The sequence below is a fragment of the Homo sapiens genome, chromosome 1 (genome assembly GCF_000001405.40).
Source record: "Homo sapiens chromosome 1, GRCh38.p14 Primary Assembly".
NCBI lineage: Eukaryota > Metazoa > Chordata > Mammalia > Primates > Hominidae > Homo > Homo sapiens.
In genome coordinates, this window is record NC_000001.11 from 149,612,525 (window position 1) to 149,629,925 (window position 17,401).

Here is a 17,401-nt window from a genome sequence, read left to right on the forward strand (position 1 = left end):
CAGCCCTCTTTGTTGAGATATTTGCCAAGCCAGATTCTCTGAGAAGCATTTCCTGGCATCTTCGTCTATATAATTCTGCTAGTTGTTTCTAAAACTATGTTGTTAGTGTGTATTGTAATCACCTATTTATGTCTGTTTGACTGTGAGCCTCTTGGAGATGGGAATTCTCTCCTATGCATTGCGGTTTCCCCAGCCCCTAGCACACTGTCTAGCCCAGTATTCCTTCTCAGTAAGTAGGTGTTGAATGACTTACAAAATGAATGCTAAAAGACCTGGTAGACAAGAAGGAATTTCTTAGCCTAAATGACCAGATGTGGAGAAGATACTCAAACACTTCAGGGTCCCCAATCTGGTGATGTCACTTGCAGTGGAATTTCATATGAATCCAGTGTGACAGAAGTTGCCTAGTCAAGTTGTAAGTCCCCTTCTCTGGGTCACATGTTCAAATACTTTTAGGGGACAGATAATGCAATATTTAAGATACAGGAAGTGATGAGGACTGTGGCACACTGGAGAGTTTGGACTCCAAGAGTAATTAATTCAGTTGAAAAAATCAACAGCACTCTGTTGATCAAGCAAACTTTCTAGGGGCCCTAATCCACCTGGGCCTGCAGTATGTAATTCCATAACTCATGGGATGCCATCAAGAGAGACAATCTACTTGATTGCTAAAGGGCCTTTGTTTTCTTTGGAGTTCCCCAGGAAGGAGAAATGTATGTGTGTGCAGGGGTGAGGAGGGGGGAGAGTGAAGAAACAATACTATCCCCTTAAAAAGGTTTGTCAGTTTTCATTATGAAAGAAGATCAAACGTGCCCACTCCAGAAATCTTGGCATATGCAGTTATTTTGAAGCCATTCAGCGTTCTTCAAGATGTCACAATGAAACGAGTGATGATTTTTTAAATAAAAAATTAAATTAACATGTTTCTCTTGGCAATGGGACTTTCTCACCATACTTTTAAGTTACATCACTTATTATGTATTCAAAATACTGATTTTTTAAAAGTATGTTCCTTGGAGCCCTGGGAACCTGCCTCAGGAGCTGGGGTGGCTGTGGGGAGGGAGTATGAAGGGAGCTGAATGAGTTAGTGAGAATCTGGGTCTTCATATCTTTTTTAAAATTGTGGCTGCTTTTTTCTGTTCTGTATAACAACTCTTTTTGAAAAGTTTCATTGTTGAGTTTTAAAACCACTGAACTAAAATAACCACCAATTTAACGTAAGTATAACTTCATTGAGTTTTTTTGTATTAAAAAAATTAAACTCCATTTTCTTCATGGATTAAGGTGATCCTACTAGGATATTTATTAAGCATTGTCTCTGCTGTTCTTTTTGCTTGCCTTGCTTTATCCCGTGTTTCCAAAAAATACAAATAGGTATTTTGTCAGCTATTTTACATTTTATAGCAGGGAAAACAGAGGCTTGGGTGATTTAAGTAAGTTACAGTTAGTAAGAGCCATAGGATACATTTCGGTGTAAGTCAATGTTTATGTAAGGCTTAAGGGACATTGGTTGAATTGGCATGACTAGAATAGTTGGGAATGTTTGGGAATGGGGAGAGATTGCTAATGGGATGTCTGCCAGGGGCAATACTGAAAATCTGCTGGTTGGTAAAGGTAGTGCCTGAGCCCAGTGCTAACCATAGTAGTTGGAAAATTGTGTACGTTGGCTGTGGAATCCTTATGCGAATATTTGTCCAATCCATCTAAATTTCTCTCTGCAGCATTTTTAAAAAGACATATAGCTGAAATTTTGTCAGTCCTAAAAATATTTTGTATTTCTCTGCCCAGATTTGCATTTGGGTAGATCGTGCTGTAGAAGATATATCTTGCTTTAAGATAGCTGCCACTGATTAGTTTATTTTAGTCTATTTTAATCAACTTATTGCCTTGTAATCTTTCCTTTTTCATTCTCTAAATTTCTGAAATTCTATCTTTCATGTTCCCCAGGAAAGACTAGTAAGACGTGTTTTTATTAATAAGACATTATCCTCATTTCACCATGACATAATTTGGGCTTTCTGTTCCAAGTTATCCTACTTGAATGCTGGACACTTCCACCTGAATATTTGTCATTTTCACCTCAACCCAGCACATCAAAACAATCCCTTATTACCTCTTTAAAAGAAGCTTCTCTCTCCAGCCTTTTCCTAGTCAGTATCACATCTTTTGAGCCAGGCATGGGGATTGCAGTTTCAGATTTCACCTCAAGTCTTCCTCTTCTGGTTCCTGAAGCTCCGGCAACCTCTGCTTTGAAACATTGTTGGCCTCTTCATCCCATCCCATGTCAATATTTAGCCCATGCCCTGTTGGCTTTGACTTAGCTCAATCACCTTAACCCAGTGTCTTAAAATTCTTGATTTTGAGTTTCTTATCCATCCAGTTTATTTACACATGAACTCTTTAAGCATGAAATTAATCATTCTTCTGTTCAGAAGCCTTCGAATGTGACCACAGCTTTTTCCATATAGACCTAAAACTTATATTCTTGGCCTTTGAGAGCTGCCTTCCCTACCCACTGATATATGTTTCTCGTGCTTCCTAACACCTACATGCTTCTGTTTGCTTAGTGACCACCCCCCACCCACTCATCAGCAGTTTGCATTAATTTAGTGTAAAGCTGTGTAAAGTTTATTGATTGATAACATCTGTGTCAAGATCATGGTTTTTTATTATAAAGAGCAGTTCATTGTGTTTTTTCCTTGCCCACGAATGGTATCTCTGTTCATTAGAATACATAATATTTTATGCATAGGAGGATAGAGTGAGAATATGAGTAGAACAAAGTAAGAATGAGAGGAGAGGATAGTGAAATTTGAGGATAGGATGAGAATGTAAATAGATTTATGTCCATCCATTACAAGATTAATAACCACAACGATAAAAGTCTTGAATGTTATTTATTTGCATATGAGTGATATTTCAGTTTGTGGCTGATACCCTTTTGGTATTAAATGGAAGATGACAAATCATCCAATATTAATTTTAGAGGGAGACATCTATTGAAATCTTTGTGCAGTCAGGTCAAGTTTCTGTGTACAAAAATTAGCAGAGAGGTTGCTGCTGGTTGACTTCCCCTAGGATGGTGTCTTTCTGAACATTTTGAAATGTAGATTGAAAAGGTGGATTTGTCAACTAACTCTGAAGTGCTGTAGTTAGTTGTGTTTTCATCATTGTTTTATTATTTATTTTATTTTTAAGATGGAGTTTTCGCTCTTGTTGCCCAGGCTGGAGTGCAGTGGTGTGATCTTGGCTCACTGCAACCTCTGCCCCCCGGGTTCAAGCGATTCTCTCGTCTCAGTCTCTCAAGTAACTGGGATTACAGGCACACACCGCCACGGCCAGCTAATTATTTTGTATTTTTAGTCGAGACGAGAATTCACCATATTGGCCTCAGGTGATCCGCCCGCCTCGGCCTCCCAAAGTGTTGGGATTATGGGCGTGAGCCAGCCACGGTGCCCGGCCTGTTTTATTGTTTGAAAAACAAGTACAGGTTGTTATTATCCAAGAATTGTTGATAGAGTATATACTGTATTTGAAGTGTAGAACTGAGGCAGAGGCTGATTAATATAACTAGTTTACTTTTGTTAGCCTTTCACATCTGTGAAGGAATAAAGTACAGACAAAAGTGGAAAACAAACCAGGAAAAAAAAATTGTGAAGCACAGAGCTGCTTAAAAGAAAAAAGTCACAGAAATAAGTCAGTATTTTGTTTAGAGACTAGAACTCCAACTGCTAGCCAACTGCCTAGAATATAGTAAATATTTTCTAGTTTCTTAAATGACTAGTAATATTCCTACATTATGTGATGGCATTTCCCAAACTGTTTAATTAGATGTTAGATTTGTAGCCAAATATGTCTAGGAAATGCTTAAACAATATAAAACAGTTTTAATGATTGGCTTTTTAGAACGTTATATATTAGTGTGCTTTATGCATATCCAAGAGGTGAGTGAGGTATTTGGGGTTTTTCAGACTTACTTGATTACAGATCTGGAGTATCTCAAAACAGTTGTTTTGTGGAAAACACTCTGGCAAACTCTGAGTCTTAGTCATTAAAAATAGTTTTTGGGTAAACAACAGTGTAATAGAAATGGAAATTACTGGTTCACATTGAGCCATGAAGAATTTATTTTCAGCAATTTTTATAGAAGTTGCTTTATGACAAAGAAAGCTTTGGTTAACTGGCATTTGGCATTTCATGCCCCTAAATTTTCTACATGAGGATTTATTTCTCTGGTTCTCTCACTTTCTCACTCAGTTATACTGAATTCATTTATGATGAGCGCTCTCAACCATTCTTATTCATCAAAGCCCTGAAGTTGGCAGAGCCCTCTCTGGTACCTGATTAGAAGTCCGTCTTCCGTCTCATAGGGAAGTGTTAGAGATGGATAATGTTTCTGTGTAGCAGAAGTAGTCATTATGTCCCCTTAAATTCGGTCACTTTGACTGCAGTAGAGCTTCTTAGTGAGCAGTCTGTGATGGAGTATACTTTCGGAGAAGCTCATGGTGGGGGAAATCTGGAATTTATCTAAATATTTCATTTCTTTGATAAATTACATTAAAAAATTAATGAGAGTATCTATTTGGTGAAATCATTTTCCTCCACGTGACCAAATGAGAAATTTAGTGAAAGATTTAAAATCATTTTTCAGACTTTTTCCACATTAGTCGGGAAGCAAACCCCTTTTTTAAGGCAATGTCAGTTATTAAGCTTTAGGGAACCACATGCCACTTTAGGGAACACATGATTGGAGAGATTGAAGAGTGAAGTTCCTGCTTTAAAGTGTACTCCTGTGGACACAGTAATACATATATTTAAAATGGTTCATGTTAAGAGTAGGTATATTTCTATCTAAATACTCTGTAGCTTTTGTGATTCAGGGAAACGAGTGGAGCCTCACAGGCACAAGAATCTAGTAAATTCTAGGTTTCTTGTGTGGAAATCAGTGGGCAAAATCTTAACTGAGTGAATTCTTGATTATTGGTATCACATTTGTTAGTCTGTATGTATCTGTGTCATCGATCTCCTTAAGAAGAGACTCGTAGATATTGACTGGGAGACCCAAGCTGAATGCTAAAATCTGCTCCATGGATATAAGCTGATGCAGTCATCATTTCACATTAAAATGTACCACAGCTATATATGCAGCAAAAAAAAAAAAAAAGTCCCTCCAGCTGAAAAGCAGTCATTACTTTATTATCACCACAGTATTTGAAATGATTTCTGTAGTTAACAGTCAGATTTTATTTTTAGTTAACTAAGACAAAGTGAATAATTCACTGTGAGCCAAATTCTTTCTTGATTCCTCTTTTTGGAGCAGTCCATCTTTATGGGAAAACCAGCCTAGAATGGTGATTTCAGTTTCAGGTGATTTCGATAGAATTGTATTTGGCTCAGAAATGATAAGACTGGGGCCAAGAAAAATTTTAAACTTTTTTTTTTGTAATCATATTACTAGTTTGATTTCATATGAACTTCCTTTGTTGACTTTCTTTGCCATTAATTTAAAAGTTCCAGTATCCTCAATATTTGATGTCTTATATGTACAGAATCCTTTCCAGCTGTAAGTCATCAGCAAGTAAAAAATTTAGTATGGCAATAGTTTTCATAAGAGGTTTTTTAAAACAGAAAAATGTTGACATTGCCAGCCTCTGGGTTGCATTTTGGGATATGCTACATTTCAAAGGTATCTTTTAAATCTGAAGGCAAAGACTTTTTCAACATCTGAATATTCTGATTTACAGAAATTAAAAAAAAAAAAACCCCGGAACATTACACGGGCATATAAATTTGAATCAGGAAAATATAAAATTAGCTGATTATTTTTATTCAGTAAAAGTGCCTTGGCACAGAACTAAAATTGATAACTTATGGTTTTAGCATGTAGATAAGTACATGAGAGTAAATCACATTTCTATATGAATAGAAATATCCACTTTATTCATGTATAGATTATAAAACTATACTAAACAAAAAGTAATCATTTACTATTACAAAAATTATTAAGAACCATTACAAAAATTCTCTGCCTACTAATTTTCAATCACCATAGAAATACAGTATTTAATAATGCTGCTGCTGTACTTACATAAAACATATTAAGAATAGATGTTATATTTCTGTGTTTGAATATTGAGCTTAAACATAAAACATATTTGAAATGTGTTTGTGTGTGTCTCTCACACACACACATAACATGTACATACCTGAAACTCATACTGCAATTGCAACACATCTTAAGTTTTTCCTTTTAAACATACCAAGATAACATTCTAAAATGAAGAATAATATCTATGTCTCTCTTCATACTACATACTATCTCTCTATGTATATACAATTGCTATAAACATATCTTTATATTTGATATATATAGGTACATATATATGGATAGATAAATATAGATATATGAGAGAGAAATGGAGATTAGAGATCTATGTTTGCCATAAATCATACTTGTTAACATAAACCATCTGATTAAACTGATATTTTGTGGCCCAAGACCTGAGACATGCAAAACTATTCTCAGCAGATAGAATTTTCTAAAAGCTGAGAGCTCATTCTCCAGGAGCTGGCCAAGGACCAGTACTAAAGGCAGACCTTTCTTGGAAATGTACACAGTCTGGGCAAACAAGACCTGCTGAGTTAACCCTTTCCTATACATATGCAGACGGTATTCAGCACAGGGCCTGACAGAAGGCAGTGTTTGTTATTATTATTCATAGCATTAGCCCATTTCTTGTTGTGAGCAACATGAACAAGGAGACTAAGGGGAGAAAAATGCCCTTTTTTAGGGTGACCACCCTAACTGATTTGAAAGTCTACAATTTTTTCAGTTTAAAATGGTATTTATTTGTAACATGTACTATTATTGAATAACAATTTCTAATTAAAAAACTACGCTAGTTTTCTGCCTATGGAGAAGCCACCTTTTTATTCTTTTACTTTCTTAATAAGCTTGCTTTCACTTAAAAAAAAAATCTACCCTACATATACACAAAAGTTAAAAAGCAGCAATATTGTACATTGGTCAGTATAAATGCATGCAGTTTTCTTTTCTTCAGTGTACAAAGTCCAAGTCTAAACCTTTATAATTTTTAGAGTCTAGCGATTCTCCAGACTCCATACTTTTCATTGTTATCAGATGCCAGCGTTAATTGCTTTTCCTTTCTTCTGTTTTGGGTTCCTGATCTTCATCTGTGTCTTTAAAACAGATTATTTTCTTTAGATTTGAAAGGTTGGGTTTTTGTCTTCATTTCTTATTTGTTTAGCCTTGTATTTCCCTTTCTTTAATTGAATTGTGTTATTGAAAATTAAATAATTTCTCTGTGAAGTCAAAAATCCTGTTTCAGGGTGGGCTCTAGAGCCTTCCTCTTGGGCCATATCCTTAGAAAGCCTGTGTGTATTCTGATACATTTGGCAATTTCTACTGGCTTTTCTTGTATTGTCTGACCCCTTTTTATTTCAGCGGTGCATCCTGGTCTTACCCAACAGGCAAGTGGTGACTCCAGTGCAGGTGACGCAGAGGTAACACTAGAATGAAGTGAAATATTCTGTTGAGGGCTAAGTTCATGTTTTTGCTGACAGTGGTGGATAAATGTCATGGCTTCCCCCTGCATAGTGCTTAGGACATTTCTTTTGATATGTGTTTTAGAGAAAACATAAAACTTGTAATCAGGAAAATGCAATAACGGAAGAAATGCTTACTTGAGTAACTAATGTGAGTTAGGCAAAGAAGATACAAATACTTCCCATTTCCTACTTCTAAATTACAGTCAAATTGTCCTAAGCAAATCTCTCATTGTCTCCATGTAAAAGATATAGAGAAGCCGTTAGAAAAAGGTGGCTGGAACAACTTTATACATACAGCCTGAATGAACTGCCTCATCATTTATATGTTTGAGGAAAGTGTCTGTTTGATAATTTAAATTAAGTTTAAACTGTCATAAACGGAGAGCTGTACAGATTCTGTGGGAGAGGATACTGGGGTACCAGATACTCATTACTAGGCTCTCCACTCTGCCTTCTTCAATACTCTGGATCAGTGCCCTTTATTCATTTTTTTCACAACTTCCTCCCCTTTGCTCACATTCTTTACAAGCTTCCAGGATTTTTTTATTTTATTTTATTTCTTTCCACAATGACTCTCATGGCTGTTGCTATAGTTGCTATAAAAGGCAAGGTGGGGAACAGACAGGTGAATGAGCACAGAGGTCATTTGTAAACCGTTTGTGGTTAGTGCTCCTCTGTTTACTGTCTGTCTGTCTCTCTCAGTGTCTCTGGGTATGTGTCTGTTTACAACATAAAATATATGCACACAAATCTCCAATTTTTCTAGAGTAACTATTAACACAGTTAAAATCTGGAAGAACTCTATCTTTTAAAGGAAATACCAATTAGCAAATAAAACAGTTGATTCCCCCCAACTCTCATTCCCCAGAGCTTGCTTAAGTGTATGGTTTGCACACATTCCATAAATAAAAACATTGCTGGCTCATAACTATGCTTCACTTTCATAAGCCTTCCAAATGTTAGTAACTTAGCCTTCTCCTTTTGAAGGGTTAGTCTGTAAGTGATACTGGAAGCCATGTGGTAAGAAAGAGGACAGAAGTATAAAATCAGACTCAGAAAGTAAAATCTGGCATATTTGGCATAGATCCATTCAGCTTCGTATACTTTGTTAGGACCCGAGGGCATGCCTGATTTTCATAAAATCGATGCACTGTTATTAAAACAAACAGGTGAAAATCACTTTTGTTAAACTACTTGACAAGGCATCTGACTACCTTAAGTGTGTTATAAATTTTGCAAGTGGTTAAAATTTTATGCTTATGAATTCAAAAGATAGACTTTAGTTAAATTAAAAACTAATTTATGTAGATATTTTCCCTAATAATATAGCACAAATGGGTTTTATTTCCAACTGAAAAGAGTATTTATTACCATGGATATAACTAGAAGAATCATACAAATATATGTAATTCCATTAGAAAATATTTTTCTTAAAATTTGAAATGACAAGAACTTAATGAATCTTAAATATCTCTTGTTTTATTTTGAAAAATTGTTTTCATAAGATACAATTGAGCAATTGAGATTTGTTCTCCCAGTATCTGAAGATTTTTTTGGTCTTGTTTTGTTTTTTGGGTTTTTGGCCCTAAAATTAGGTGAATTCAGCTTTGGGTCTATTTCATCCATTCTGGAAGGTTCCTTGGGTCACTGATCTGAGGCATTCTTGATGTGGTTAGGACTTCCCAGCATTATTTTTTTTAGATCCTGTTTATTTAAAATGAAAAGGATTAGCATGAGGGATGGTAACATTCCTTTTTGATATCTGTAGCAGCAAGTTTTCTTATGATTCATTATTCTTCTTCTTACAGCTTTAAATCATCTAGGAACTTCATATAAAATTTAATTCCAGTTTCAACTAGTTGTGGAGCATTTGATCCAAAATAAAATGAAAGTCCTTTCTGAAGCTGTAGAGGAGACTCAAGAATCAGAACAACCTGAAGTTCTTTAAGCTGTCAGTTGAAGGACTAGGTAAAAAACAAATATCATTTAGTGTGATCATTAATGCACATGAGTCATTATTCCATGTGGTTGCTGTCGACTGGTCAGGGGCACTTCAAGCCCTAATCTGTACTTTGTCCTGTCTCTCTACACCCCGTTCTACTTTTTCAGCTTGTTGCCTGTAATATGTGAATGGAAATAAAATAATCAAGCTTGTTAGAATTGTGTTCATAATGACACAAAAGACCTGAGAGAATGTAAGAACATATAGAACATCCAAAATAAGACATATTTTTGGTTGGTTTAAAACCTTTTTGTTTGTTTCATTTTCTTCTGTGCTTAATGTATAGTTACTATTATTTCATATCCTTTGACTTACAGGTTTGACTGCAATGCAGTGTGAATATCACACTTGGGACCATTTGTCATACTGTCAGATGGCAATACATAGATGGATAGAATTTTGCTGTTTGATCAAAGCTGTGCCATCGGAAACTTGTTTTCCCAAGTATGGGTACATTCTCCTCTTTTCCTGAGTGGAGAAACCTAGATCTGAGCAAAAAGCATGAATCAATACACCTTGGGAGGCAGGGTGTCAAATATTTGATGCCATTTCCTTTGCTTGTTAATTGTTCATTTCATTTGAATATAAATATAAAAGGACTTCTACCAAGAACATGAAACTAACATTTTGCCAAGCTAAATTTTAATGAATTTATTTGGACTTTTTTATAATCACTTAATATTTTCAGTTCATGTGCTAATATTAACTCTACTTACTGGAGAGAAAGAAATGGTATTCAATATGATAACTGCCTTGTTACTGCAGAAATGTAGAAGTTTGGCATTTTAAGTATCAAATATTTTAAGTCAAAAAATTACCAGTGTCCCACAGCACAGAGAGAGACTATATGTTTGCTTGTGTCCCTTTAATCTTTCCCCTGTAAAATTAAGCCTAGGGGCCTTACACTATTTTAAATTTTCAAAATTAGGTCTTGTAAATGTTGTGTCAGATTTCCAATTCATAAGTAGTATACTTATGAATACTGAATAGTGAACATAGGGTACATTTATATCCTACTGATTGCTTAGCTGTGGACCAGAGGTAAACAGAGAATGAATGGTATTTTCACAGGTTAGTAAACTGTTTTTCTATGATCTCTTATATACAAGTGTGATGAACATTTTTTCCCCCTTCCTGAACTAATATAGGAACATATGGTCTAATAAGTGTGAGTTCATTTGGGGAGGGCAGGATAGAATGCTTGAAATTAGGACTGACCCAAAAAATGCCTTGGTCTCAGTATTTGTGGATTACGAGGAGGAAGGGCTGAAAAGGAACCTTAAAAGCATTAGAATGGTAGAGTACAGATTAGCAGCAACACTCAGGGCTCCATCATGAAGAGAGTGAGATGAGTTCCCATGGTTAATGCAGCAGGGGCTCTAATTGAAAGCCCTCTACCTAGGAAATGATTTAAATCCTTTTATCCTAGCTGGATTGTGAACGTTTTATTTACTTTGAGGAAGTTGTTTAACCCTTTTTGTAGATTGCATCAATATTTAGAGTAATGTAAATACATTTTCCCTTTGGCTATTTTACAAGGACATTGAGGATTAATTAAATTTAAAAGAAAGTAGTGCAGTTAACTCCCAGGAGACAGAGGGAGATGTTTATCATTTTTCTCATCATTCATTCCTTATTCATTCATTTTACAAATGTTTGTTGAATAGTAATTATAATGAAGATACTATACCAGCTTCCTGAATTGGGAATACAAAGATGAAGGATGAGAGTGACTTCTGCCTTCATTATGTTATGTGTTCATATTTTCTTTTTAAAATTCTCATTATAATATGAGTAATTGTGCAGGGATTTAATATTGCTGGTCTCAGCAATAGTTGATCTTTGATTAACATCTCACTGACACATATTTTCACTGTGTATATTTATTTTTCCTTTCTAAATTTAGATCTACTCTTTATCTTCTACTGTAAGAGATATACAACATACTTTTGTTTTTTTCTATGTTGTAATCAGTGCAGTTTTTTTAACCAAGAATAAACACAAGTTCTAATAGCAAACAGAAATAAACTCCCTACACATTACCTTCTCCATTAAAATATGTTTTATGCCACATGCAGAATTTTAATATTATATAGTTATTTGTGAAAGTATAACTAAATAGAAATTTTAAGAAAGAATGCCTCTAATATTCATATCTTAGCACTAAAGAAGCATATATTATTCTGCAGATTGAATTAAAATGTTAGTTACCAAGATATGAACTTAGACATTTTCAGTAAGCATTTATAGGCTATTCTAGTAGAAAACTGTACACAATTTCCCATGAGGCTGGTGAAGGTTTCTTAGCTTAAGCGACTTTTTAGCTGGTTCTTGGATTTTATTAAATAATATTTGAATGAACAGTTTTGACTAACAGCCTGAAAATATTAATCTTTCCTCTCAGTCTGAGCAAGCGAAAGTAAATAAATTCATATTGTATGTCTGATTCTCTTTGGGTTTGAAAAGAAATAAAGACTCCACTTCTAAATTAGCATAGAAAAAAGGAGAATTTCTCTTGATTTATTTCTCAGTTTGGGTTTGTGCTTTTGAAAAAGGAAAATAATGATCCTGAAATCAGTAGGCTTTGTCTTTGCCAAAAAATGTGGACATGTTGATCTTAGGGGGGCTGATTATATAAAACAGTAGAAATGTAGTCTTAGATGAAAATCTGTAAAGATGTAAGAATGCTGAACTAACATGAAAATCAGGGGCTGAGAAAATGCTGGATTGAGAATAATGTGATAATGAAGGTTTTATATATATTCATATATATAAAATGTATTCATATATTCTCTTCAACATACATAATGTCATAAAAAGGATAAAACGCCTAAGTCTAGTCTTGACAGAGCACCAGCTTAAATCACATGAGCCTATCAGAGAACTTATGACAATATTTAGGGCTAAACTGATGTTACTGGTGAACCAGTATCTGGAATGATTTCCATAACTCACTTAACTTGCACATTTATAATGTGGACTTTAAATAATAATTATCAGGATGGCTACTCTGAAGCCAGGAGCTTAGGAAGTGTCACAGATGGTATATATTTGTATTCCTGCCTCATGTCCCTTTCCCTGAAGTGGCGTGTGGAGTATGAGGGATTACGGTGTATTTGTAGGTGGTGTCCCTGAAAGGCTATCAGGGGACTTCTGGTTCTGCTTCAGTTCTGTTTTGTGAAGACGGTCAAGTGATTTAAGGTCTCTTGCTTCAGCCATCCCACTTAGAAAGCAGTTGCTTTATAGTCCTTTGGGTATATACCCAGTAATGGGATGGCTGGCTCAAATGGTATTTCTAGTTCTAGATCCCTGAGGAATCGCCACACTGACTTCCACAATGGTTGAACTAGTTTACAGTCCCACCAACAGTGTAAAAGTGTTCCTATTTCTCCACATCCTCTCCAGAACCTGTTGTTTCCTGACTTTTTAATGATTGCCATTCCAACCGGTGTGAGATGGTATCTCATTGTGGTTTTGATTTGCATTTCTCTGATGGCCAGTGATGATGAGCATTTTTTCATGTGTTTTTTGGCTGCATAAATGTCTTCTTTTGCGAAGTATATACCCAAAGGACTATAAATCATGCTGCTATAAAGACACATGCACACGTATGTTTATTGCGGCACTATTCACAATAGCAAAGACTTGGAACCAACCCAAATGTCCAACAATGATAGACTGGATTAAGAAAATGTGGCACATATACCCCGTGGAATACTATGCAGCCATAAAAAATGATGAGTTCATGTCCTTTGTAGGGACGTGGATGAAATTGGAAATCATCATTCTCAGTAAACTATCGCAAGAACAAAAAACCAAACACCACATATTCTCACTCATAGGTGGGAATTGAACAATGAGATCACATGGACACAGGAAGGGGAACATCACACTCTGGGGACTGTTGTGGGGTGGGGGGAGGGGGGAGGGAGAGCATTGGGAGATATACCTAATGCTAGATGACGAGTTAGTGGGTGCAACGCACCAGCATGGCACATGTATACATATGTAACTAACCTGCACATTGTGGACATGTACCCTAAAACTTAAAGTATAATAATAAAAGAAAAAAAAGAAAAAAAAAAAAGCAATTGCTTGAGACTACTTCACTGTAAGCTCCTTTTTTTTTTAAATAAATGCAGATTTTATGATATTCCTGATCATTCTCTTTGCACTTAGATTTAAAATGTTATTTGCAGTTGATTAGAGCGTGGTGATAAGTAAGCCAGGATTTCTGGAATGCCAGGGCACTGTCCCCATGCATGGAAAACTGCACAAGAGCTTGTGTGTCTTGACATTCCCACATGTCAGGATGCCTTCATTTGCTAATGACAGAATACCCAACTCAGACTGGATTAAATAAAAGGGGATTTTCTTGCTTATTTAACTCTAGATTCAGTGGTAAATGGGTTTCTGGGTTGATTGGTTTGGGGCCTAACAATGTCTTCAAGGACTTGGTTTCTTTTCAACAGTCAGCTTTACCTTCCTGTGAGCTAGCATTGTTTCCCATGGGATTGCAAGGCAGCTGCATACAACTCCTGCAGTTCTTCCTTTTCCATATCCAGAGAGGGGACGTCCTTTCAGACGCTGATTATTTTAGGTGTAAATTCCATGTCCCATCCCAAAACAAACAAACAAAAAAACATCTAGGGCATTTCTTATTTGAGGCGCTTAACAAATGACTGGATCATCTCCCTTGTATATAACCCAGAAAACACTGTGAAGTAGAGCAAAATTGGAAAGCCCAAGTCAAAGACCATTTGCAAATTTCAAGTAGATTCCAGTCTGTTGCTCAAATCACAAAACATGAAATGGAGGGGTCTCCCTTGGAGACCATAAAGTCTGTGACATGGTGGCCAGTTGGGTCACTGGAAAACATGGCAAAATATTGAAAATGAGGGATTAGGTGAGAGTGTAGCAACTGAACACTAAATGCTTGATCCAGGTGCCATCCCCTGGATACTGACAGGGAGACACATTGTCCAGGTAATACTGGAAAAATACTTTCTATAGTGTAAACCACAAATAAAATTCCAAGCCCCTCAACTATTTGAATGCACCCCTCCTCTCAGCCAGGGTCATTCCAAAGTTAACCTGAAAAACTGGTTCAGACCATGATGGGAAGTAGGGGTCAGATATGCCTCATTATACCCTCCTTCCTTTGGAATTCAGGCACAACTGACCAGCACATCCGACCAGGCACAACTGGCATTACAACAGAGATCTTAAGACTTTTTGTAGCAATAAGACACCAAATTCCAGCCTGACTCTAGTGTAGCATTACATGACAGATAGCAGGCCCTGAAAGAAATACAAATATTTTACCCTAAAATATATTTGTTATCATATTTTGAAATGTCCCTACAAAGTTGTCTCTTGTGGGGAAAGTCTACATGCTACAGGGAATCCCTTTCCAGGTCTTTTCCCTAATCTAGGCACCTTTTTAAGTCTGATAAGAAACATTTACAATCAATTCTGTCTGAAGCCTGCTATCTGGAGGCTTCATCTGCATAATAAGAACAACCCCTTAACACAGAGACTGCCTTCTATGGATTCCAGGTCTTTAGATAAACTCTTTCAACCAATTGCCAAAGTATCAGAAAATGATGGCTGGTAACTATTTAATTATGCATATATATTAGTAGAATTTGGGGGGTGGGCACGGTGGCTCATGCCTGTAATCCCAGCACTCCTTCAGGAGGCTGACAGATTGCCTGAGTCCAAGAGTTTGAGACCAGCCTGGGAAACATGGTGAAACCCCATTTCTACCAAAAAAAAAAAAAAACAAAACAAAAATTAGCCAGGCATGGTAGTGAGCACCTGTGGCCCAGCTACTCAGGAGGCTGAGGTGGGAGGATTACTTGAGTCTGGGAGGTGAAGGTTGCAGTGACCCAAGCTTGCAACACTGCACTTCAGCCTGGGTGACAGAGGAATGGGCCTTCACTAGACACTGAACCTGCTCGCAACTTGATCTTAGACTGACCATCCTCCACAACTGTGAGCAATAAATTTTTATTGTTTATAAGTTACTCACTCTGTGGTATTTTGTTATAGCAGCACAACTGGATTAAGACATTAACCTGACCTTAAGAAATCATCTCAAATCAGTCTTGGCTTTGATGAGAAACAAAGGGCACACTCGAATGTGTGATTTAAAGAGAGTTTTTTTTCTTTTTTGAGATGGAGTCTCGCTCTGTCCCCCAGGCTGGAGTGCAGTGGCATGATCTCGGCTCACTGCAAGCTCCGACTCCTGGGTTCATGCCATTCTCCTGCCTCAGCCTCTGGAGTAGCTGGGACTACAGGTGCCCGCCACCACACCTGGCTAATTTTTTGTATTTTTAGTAGAGACGGGGTTTCACTGTGTTGGCCAGGATGGTCTCGATCTCTTGACCTCATGATCTGCCCTCCTCGGCCTCCCAAAGTGCTGGGATTGCAGGCATGAGCCACTGCACCCAGCCTACAGAGAGTTTTATGAAGAGAATATTTCTAAATATATGGACAGGATCAAAATAACCCAACAAAGGACTGAGAGGCGCTCAGAATCTGATCTGGAATCAGCAGAGAAGTTGTATTGCCTCTAGGACTTAATTGTTGTATAAGTCTGTTCAGGTTGCCATAACAAAATACCATATACCAAGTGGCTTAAACTATAGAAATGTGTTTCTCACACTTCTAGAAGTTGGGAAGTCCAAGATAAAGGTGCTAGCAAAGCGGATTTCTTTCTAAGATCTCTTCCTACGGCCTGTAAGTGGCTGTAGTTTCACTGTGTGCCCATGTGACCATTTCTTTGTGCACCATGGGGAAGGCGGATGAGCAAGCTTTCTAGTGTCTCTTCTTATAATGGCATTAATCTCAGCATGAGGACCCCACTCTCATAACCTCTTTTAAACCTGATTACCTCTCAGAGGCCCCAGCTGCATAAACCATCACACTGGGGGTTAGGGCTTCAACATTTAAGTGTGGGAGTTGGTGTTCACAATTCAGTCAATTGGAGTGGAAATTGAAATGGGAAAGGAAAACTATAGTTACTAGAGAGAGCTATTGTCTTGGGGAGGATCACTGGACAGGACTATGGTCTTTGGAGAAATAAGCGAGTTACAACTGACAAAGATTCTTTCTGTGAAAATAAGTAATTTAAAATGTAAGTTGTTGGAATTCCAAATTACTGTGAGCCTTAAAAAAATGTGAGTATGGGCCAGGCACCATGGTTCACACCTGTAATCCCAGTACTTCGGGAGGCCCAAGGCAGGCAGATCACCTGAGATCAGGAGTTCAAGACCAGCCTGACTAACATGGAGAAAGCCCATCCCTACTAAAAATACAAAATTAACCAGGTGTGGTGGCGCATGCCTGTAATCCCAGCTACTTGGGAGGCTGAGGCAGGAGAATCACTTGAACCTGGGAGGCAGAGGTTGCAGTGAGCTGAGATTGCACCATTGCACTCCAGCCTGGGCAACAAGAGCAAAACTCTGTCTCAAAAAAAAAAAAAAAGAAAAAAGAAAATGTGGGTATGGAGCCTAAGTCACATGAGAGGCACCTGTAAACTAGGCAGTTGTAACCTTTGTTTCTCTGATTATAGATTGGCCTTCTTCCTTACATACATTGTTGTTTTTTTTTGTTTGTTTGTTTGTTTGTTTGTTTGTTTGTTTTTTGAGATGGAGTCTTGCTCTGTGGGCCAGGCTGGAGTGCAGTGGCATGATCTCGGCTCACTGCAACCTTGGCCTCCTGGGTTCATGCCATTCTCCTGCCTCAGCCTCCCGAGTAGCTGGGACTATAGGCGCACACCACCATGCCCAGGTAATTTTTTGTATTTTAGTAGAGACGGGATTT

The 17,401-nt window shown here is 37.1% G+C and overlaps 1 long non-coding RNA gene across 4 annotated transcripts in view; it reads left to right on the plus strand.

The window, feature by feature from the left end:
* LINC00869 (long intergenic non-protein coding RNA 869) overlaps positions 1–17,401 on the plus strand; it is a 72,512-nt gene that overhangs the window by 5,513 nt on the left and 49,598 nt on the right. The window lies entirely within an intron of this gene.